Consider the following 7,812-nt stretch of genomic DNA (forward strand, 5'->3'; position numbering starts at 1 on the left):
AAGATATGTCTTAACTTTGTTCAGATTCTGTTTTCACCTACACAATCACTACACTATTCTCTGGATAAGCCCAGGCTAGTTAAAATTTGAAATGACCTAAAAATCCAGCTAAAAATTGAGGTAGGGTACTTTTTGTACTATTTATTTGAAATTTCTTCCCTTGTTCCCTCTAAGCCATATCTATACAAAGCTGGAATTAATGTTCATGTACAAAGGTGCATGATCTGAAGTCATAGGATGGGATTATAGGTAAACAGCTGTTGCTTACAAGCTTACAGTTTTGCTTAAGCTATTTGGAAGTGGTACAAAAAGCAGTTAATTAGTTGCCCTTTGTCATATTCCAAACACCAAGCTCTAGTGGAGTTTGCCTTGACATTTAATGAAACATTTGCTTATGAGAATATGATTCACTTTTTGGTGGTGTGTTTTTTTTGGGTAATCTAGGAATAATTTTGAGTTAAAAGACTAACTGTATTCTTTGTCTCCACTTGTTTTCCACGTTCAACAGGGAGCTGTCATCCCAGGCCCGCCGTTTTTATTTGGGGCATGTATAGTCCTTATGTCTTTTCTGGTTGCCTTATTCATTCCTGAATACAGTAAAGCCAGTGGAGTTCAAAAACACAGTAACAGCAGCAGCGGCAGCCTGACCAACACCCCAGAACGGGGCAGTGATGAGGACATTGAGCCACTACTGCAAGACAGCAGCATCTGGGAGCTCTCTTCATTTGAGGAGCCTGGGAATCAGTGCACTGAGCTGTAAACTCGGCAGAAAGTGGGATTCTGCATACGCCATCTCTGAGAGCCATGGAGGGAGCCACACCCCTGGTGACTTCATGGTGCTGGATGGGAGACGCTAGCGGCATCCTTCAGGGCCAAGTTTGATAAATACCACCGCCATCATTCTGCTCATCCTCCTCCTGTTTTTTTTTTTTCTCTTACATTCTTTTTTTTTTTCCTGTTTATACATTAGAACAAGATAAGATTTGAAATACTTCCTTGCAAATAATGTGCAACTCCCAAGGTGAAACTCAAATAGAAAAAGTCATCTCTCTGGTAGAAAGGATGGCTTTCCTGTAATGACTATAGAGTAAGAGTGGCAGCAATCTTTCCATGCCCTTTTCAGCAGAAGGCACAGAACAGTAGCGGGACTGCCATCTCTGGCAAGATTTCAGGTAAAGAATCTCTTCTTAATTTCTACCTTCCTGTTTCTCTGAATCAGCCCATAGGTGTTGATGAGTGGCCACTCTTAAAGAGTCACTCAGTATCAGGGATCTACTGTCTTTGTTCAAAGGTCAAATAAAAACCTAGTCTCCTTTTATTCTACTTTCTATTCTTAGCTAGAATGAAACTCAGCATATATACACTTCTGGACATAATAATATTGAATAGTAATTACCTTTACTAGATGAAAGAAATTTTCATTACAAACTTAAATCATGTAAAACTCAACAACTCAGATTCCTGGACCTGGTGTCCTGGTTGGGTCCAAGGTGATTTTACAGAAGAAAAAAACAACTCAAGCATTCTGGTGGCAACATAGAGATTGTAGGCTGCTTCTAAGAAAGTTATTAACAATTTGGAAATTCCTAAGTAGGATGAGAGTTAGTAACTGGATACGAGTGAAGTTTATATCCAAGTTCAGACTCAAAGGCATTATTATGATTTGCTTCTTCCCATGTCTTCCATGTCCTGCTTCTCAAAGTTTTTCTCATCCATCACACTCCTGCCTTAACTGCTCTGAGTATGCATTTGTTTTCAATTCATCTTTATTTCAATCTGTTTAACTTTTGAATCGCATGGGAATACGCACATTAAGTTCCTTTCTAAAATAAGGTTTTATGAAGCTGAGTTTCACGATAAGTGTCTTGCTATTTTTTGAGATGTTTTATGGACAAAGAAAACTTTACAGATTTATATGTATTTTGCTGCACCAGTAAATGGACCATTAACTAGGGCCCACCTTTAACAGAGCACCCCTTTGAAAGTTTTATAGGTATGAAATATATGTAGATATTTGTAAAGGGTTTTAATTTTTTTTTTTTGATGGGGTGCTGTGTAAATCTTGTATTTATAAATGTAATGAAGGTATTGACAGAAAAAAATATATACAACTTTTATAAAGGATTGTGTACTGACTGAATACATTTAAAAGAAAATATATTTTGAAACCTGTTCTGCTATGAACAGAGATAACATATCTTTTTACTATGCTATTGGTTTTTAGGTTAAGCTTCCTAATGCATAATAAATTTACAGTGGTTACTTTTATGTCTTGTGTCTTTTTTTTAAAGCAAATAGTATTGCTCTTTTGGGTTCTCTGTTGGGTGGCTTTCAATTAAACTGAGTTGTAATCTTTCAGCTGATGCAAAAGGTATGTATTTTCAAAAAAATTTTATTTTTAACAAAATTCCTTCAAAGTCTCCCTTCAAAAACATCGTAACTACAGATGCTCCTTGAAAAAAACATCGTAACTACAGATGCTCCTTGACTTACCGATGGGGTTCCATCCTGATAAGCCCATTGTAAGTTGAAAATATCATACATTGCAAATGCATTATTAACACAGCTTAGAAGCTTCAGCACTTTCGGTATCAGCACAGTAGAGTATTGGTTGGTTGTTTACCCTCCTGAGTGCATAGTGATTGGGAGCTGCAGCTCACTTGCCACTGCTCAATGTCACGAGAGAGTATCATACCACATATCGCCAGCCTGGGAAAAAAAATCAAAATTTGAAGTATGGTTTCTACTAAATGGGTATCGCTTTTATACTGTCATGAAGTTGGAGACCATCTGTATTTTTATTTTTAAAAAGCAGGGACAGAACAAAAACGCGTATATCCACGTTCATAGCATTCATAACAGCCAAAAGATGGAAAAAAACCTAAGTGGCCATTGACCGATGATGAATAGATAAGCAAAATAGGTATATCCATACAGCAGACTATTATTCAGCTTTAAAAAGGAAGGAAATTCTGACACGATACAAAATGGATGAGCATTTAACACATTATGCTAAGTGAAACAAGACAATCACAAAAAGACAAATACTATATGGTGCCACTTAATGATGTGCCTAGAGTAGTTAACGTTCAGAAAGCAGAGTAGTGCTCACCACGGGCTGGGGGAGGGAGAAGTAGGAAGCTGTTATTTAATGGGTACAAAGTTTCATTTTGCAAGGTAAGAAAAGTTCTGGGATGGTAATGGTTTTTTGATAATGGTAGTTTTATGAATGTTCCCCATGTGCTTGAGAAGATGGTATTCTCTTAACTGTGAGAGTGTAAGGGCCAATGTATGTGCTGAACATCTATCTTATTATGCTTGGTATTTTACACTTATTTTTGTCCAGTGAATGGACATCTCTGTGATGCTGAGTCTTGCTATCCAGGATTATGCTGTCTATCCATTTGTTAAGGTTTACTTTTAATATATAGTGTTCTGACATTTTTCTCAAACAGGAATTGTATATTTCATGTTGTTTATTTCTATTAGTGTCTACTGTGAAATGGAGGGGTGTGTCTTTACTTCCATCCCATCCTTAAACTATTTATTTTTTATTATTTATTATTTTTTATTTTTTTTTTGAGACAGAGTCTTGCTCTGTCGCCCAGTCTGGAGTGCAGTGGCGCAATCTTGGCTCACTGCAACCTCCACCTCCTGGGTTCAAGCAATTCTCCTGCCTCAGCCTCCCAAGTAACTGGAGATTACAGGCACATGCCGCTATGCCCGGCTAACTTTTTTTTTTGTATTTTTAGTACAGATCGGGTTTCGACATGTGGGCCAGGCTGGTCTTCAACACCTGACCTCAAGTGATCCACCAGCATTGGCTTCTCAAAGTGCTGGGACTACAGGTGTGAGCCACTGCGCCCAGCCAACAATTCTTTATCTAAGGTCATCCTCTATGGACCAGAGAACTCTGGGAATTTCTTGCCTCTTGGGATCCAGAACCAGAGAAACAGCAGAGCATAGGGTGACTTACTTGTGGGCTCCCACAAACAGAAGGCCACTCAGACCTGCTGTTTGCCACCCCTGCCCATTCCTTCTCCAGATGGAACTGGTACTCTTCTGACTACCAGACAGGCTGCACCACCAGCAAAGGGGATGGATACAGGAGCCACACCAACAATAAGCGACCAGGGAAGGCTCCATATTCCTTGTGGGCCTAGGACTGCCTTTTCAAAGGAAAAATAGCTAAAAAGGCAGAACCTGCAAAAGAGGTGCAGCTACATTAGTGACCTGACCAAAGAAGGCTCTTTGTCCCTGCAGGTTTGAGATGGAGAGTCCCCTCATCCCAGACACAGAGGCAGAGGGGGTAGAATAGGTGAGGGGACACTGGGAAGAGGGATCCTTCCAACCCCACCTCACCAACATCTCCCCCAGCCCACCCCCACCCCACACACCAGAAGCCTGGTAAACCCTTCTGCACCCTCAGCTAGCACCAGCAGAGAGCAGTGGGAACCTCCTTTGGCACTAAATCCACTGAGGATGTCAAAGCAAAACATTAAAGGCTCCAATAATCAAACTATCATTGAAACCTCCTCCCCCACCCACAAAATAGGCTAAGGCCCACATGCCAACCCCAAACAAGGTGCTTGCTCGCTAAAATTATCAAAGATGTAAATAGCACCTAGCATTACATAACATGACAGACAAAAGGGCCAGGATACAATCATCACACCAAGAGCCAAGAAAATCATGGCTTGAATGAGGAAAGACAATCAACTGACCCCAACTGAAATGAATCAGAGGTTGGATCCATCTGAAAAGGATTTTAAAGCAGACATCTTTTTAAAATGCTTTAGTGATCATTTACAAATTTTCTGCAATCAAATGAAAACAAAATTATAAATCTCAGCAAAGAAATAAAGGTTATAAAACATGAACTGAAATGAAATTATGGAACTAAAAATACAATAATAGAAGTGAAAACTCGCCGGGCACTGTGGCTCATGCCTGTAATCCCAACACTTTGGGAGGCCCAGGCAGGCGGATCATGAGGTCAGGAGATCGAGGCCATCCTGGCCAACATGGTGAAAACCCTTCTCTACTGAAAATACAAAAAACATCATTAGCTAGGCATGGTGGCGGGCGCCTGTAGTCCCAGCTACTTGGGAGGTTGAGGCAGGAGAATTGCTTGAATCCAGGAGGTGGAGGTTGTAGTGAGCCAAGATTGCGCCACTGCACTCCAGCCTGGTGACAGAGTGAGACTTCATCTCCAAAAAAAAAAAAAAAGTGAAAACCAAACATTGCTAGACTTGCTTAATATTAGAATTGAAATAAGCAAAATCAACAGAATTCCCCTACACAGAAAAACAGAGAGAAAACAGACTAAAAATGTAAAATGAACAAAGCTTCAGAGGCCTGTGGGATAAAAAATAAAGGTCCAACTTTTGTATCATTAGAATTTCAGAAAGACATGAGTTAGATGATGGTGTTGAAATTATTTTAAAAAGTAATTGCTGAAAACTTCCAAGATTTGGCAAACTCATGAATTTATAGACCAAAAAATCTAAGTCAACCTCTCAAAAATAAACCCAAACAAGTCCACTCCAAGACACATCTAATCAAACTTTTAAAAACTAAAGACAGAAAAAAATTTTTAAAACAACCAAAAAGAAACAAAAGATAATTCTGGAACCTACAGAGAAACACCTACTTGAATAACAATGATTTTCTTATTTGGGATCATAGAGGCCAGAAGGAAGAACTGTCAACCACAAATTCTATGTTCAGTGAATCTATCTTTCACAAATAAATGAAACTTAAAAAAAATTATCAGGCAAAGAATTTGTTGTTACAAATTAAGAGTGGATAGTAGACCTACCATTAATGATTGGCTCAAGGACATTCTTCAAAAACAAGAGAAATGATAACAAAAGGAAGCATAGAGTATCCAGAAGGAAGAAGGAACACTGCATAGGGCAGAAATACGGAAATATAAAATGGATTATTTTGTTCACCATGAGTTCTGTAAATCTTAAGGACTGAAACAACAATTAGAACACCTTCTGGTACTTCAGACAATTATCTTTAATAGTTGAAAGGGAAAAGGGTCTTAAATGCAAGTGAGGTTTCCACACTTCGCTCTAAGTGGTGAATGTTGATATTAGTTGTAGTGGGATGAATAATGGCGTCACTCAGGTCCCCACATTCATCCCTCCAATCTATGAATCTTACTTTTTAGAGCAGAGATTTTGCAAGTGTAATTAAGTATCTATATGTGGGAGATTGTCCTGAATTATCTAGGTGGGCCCTAAATGCCATCACTAGTATCCATACATGAGAGAGGCAGACAGAGATTTCAGACAGAGGAGATGGCCACGTGACTCTGAATGGGAGAGTAGACTGATGTGGCCACAAGGCAAGGAATGCCAGCAGCTGCCCTAAGCCAGAAGAGGGAAGGAAAGAATTGTTTCCCAGAGCTTTTGAAGTGATTCTAGCCCTGCCCACAACTTGATGTTGGCCTAGCAAACTTGATGTGGGCGTCTGGTTTCCAGAACTGAGAGTAGAAATTTCTGTTGTTTTAAGCCACCAAGTTTGTGGCAATTTGCTATAGTAGCAGTAGAAAACAAATGTATCAGTAGGCTGTTACAAGTCATACCTTTATTGTAATGCCCAGAACGATCACTTTGAAAACTATACAAAGAAACACATTAGAATATACTATAAAAAATGGAGATAGAATTAAAAAAGAAAATAACCCCTAGGAAGGCAAGAAAAGCAGTAAAAGAGGAATGAGAACCCGAGAAAACGTAATAAAGTGCCAGACAAAGCACTAACATATCAATAATTATCTTAAATATAAACAGTCTACATATGCCACTCAAAAGTCAAAGAGAGGCAGAATATATTAAAAGCATTATTTGGGCTGGTCACAGTGGCTCACACCTGTAATCCTAGCAGTTTGGAAGGCTGAGGCAGGCGGATCATGAGGTCAGGAGTTCGAAACCAGTCTGGCCAGCACAGTGAAACCTGGTCTCTACTAAAAATACAAAAATTAGCCAGGCATGGTGCCGTGCACCTGTAGTCCCAGCTACTCAGGGGGCTGAGGCAAGAGAATGGCTTGAACCCAGGAGGCGGAGGTTGTGGTGAGCCAAGATCACGCCACTGTACTCCAGCCTGGGCAACAGAGCAAGACTCCATCTTAAAAAAAAATTACTCAATTACATAAGGCTTAAAATATATGTCAAAGTCAATAACACAGGCATAATGATAGTAAAAGGAAGAAAAGACATGCCATGTAAACATTAATAATAAAGCATGAGTGGGTATATTAATATCTGACAAAGTAGACTTTAAGGCAAATAAAAGTATTAGAGACAAAGAGGAACATCACAAAATAATAAAATGATTGATCCACCAGAAATGTGTAAAAATCCTAAATGTGTAAAAACCAAACATCAGAGCTTCACAAGAGGAAGCAAAAACAGTTAAAACTAAGGGAAAAACAGAAAAATCTACAAATGTAGTTGAAAACTTTAACACCCTTAGAAAACAGAAAAGATCATAAAAGGTATTTAATCAACCAACAGGATCTAACTGACACAGAACACTCCACCCAATACACATGTTTTTCAAACCCCTATGAAACGTTGACAAAGATAGATCTCATCCTGGGCCAGAAAATAGATCTTAACATATTCAAGTGAACTGAAATCATAGAGAATTTATTCTCTGATCACAATGGCATCAAACTAGAAATCAGTGATTAAAAGGCAGTAGAAAAATCTCGAAGCATATGGACACTAAATAACACATTTCTAAGAAATCCATGACTCAAAAAGAAAGTTTCAAGTGAAATAAAAAAATACATAG

The 7,812-nt window shown here is 38.8% G+C and overlaps 1 protein-coding gene across 4 annotated transcripts in view, besides 1 other annotated feature; it reads left to right on the forward strand.

Moving 5' to 3' along the window:
* SLC71A2 (solute carrier family 71 member 2) overlaps positions 1-2,390 on the forward strand; it is an 86,626-nt gene extending 84,236 nt beyond the window's left edge. For all 4 annotated transcript variants that reach the window (XM_017015218.2, NM_032558.3, XM_017015219.3 and 1 more), the window contains one exon: positions 509-2,390. In XM_017015218.2, coding sequence (XP_016870707.1) covers positions 509-760 — 252 coding nt within the window. In that variant the 3' untranslated portion in view covers positions 761-2,390. The remainder of the gene's footprint in view (positions 1-508) is intronic.
* Positions 6,201-6,401: a silencer, noted in NCBI's record as "peak7296 fragment used in MPRA reporter construct". NCBI's record gives its function as "represses an SCP1 promoter by STARR-seq MPRAs in K562 erythroleukemia cells {active_cell/tissue: K562}" and the evidence as "EXISTENCE:reporter gene assay evidence [ECO:0000049][PMID:32103011]".

Source organism: Homo sapiens, chromosome 9 (assembly GCF_000001405.40).
Source record: "Homo sapiens chromosome 9, GRCh38.p14 Primary Assembly".
In the NCBI taxonomy this organism is placed as follows: Eukaryota; Metazoa; Chordata; class Mammalia; order Primates; family Hominidae; genus Homo; species Homo sapiens.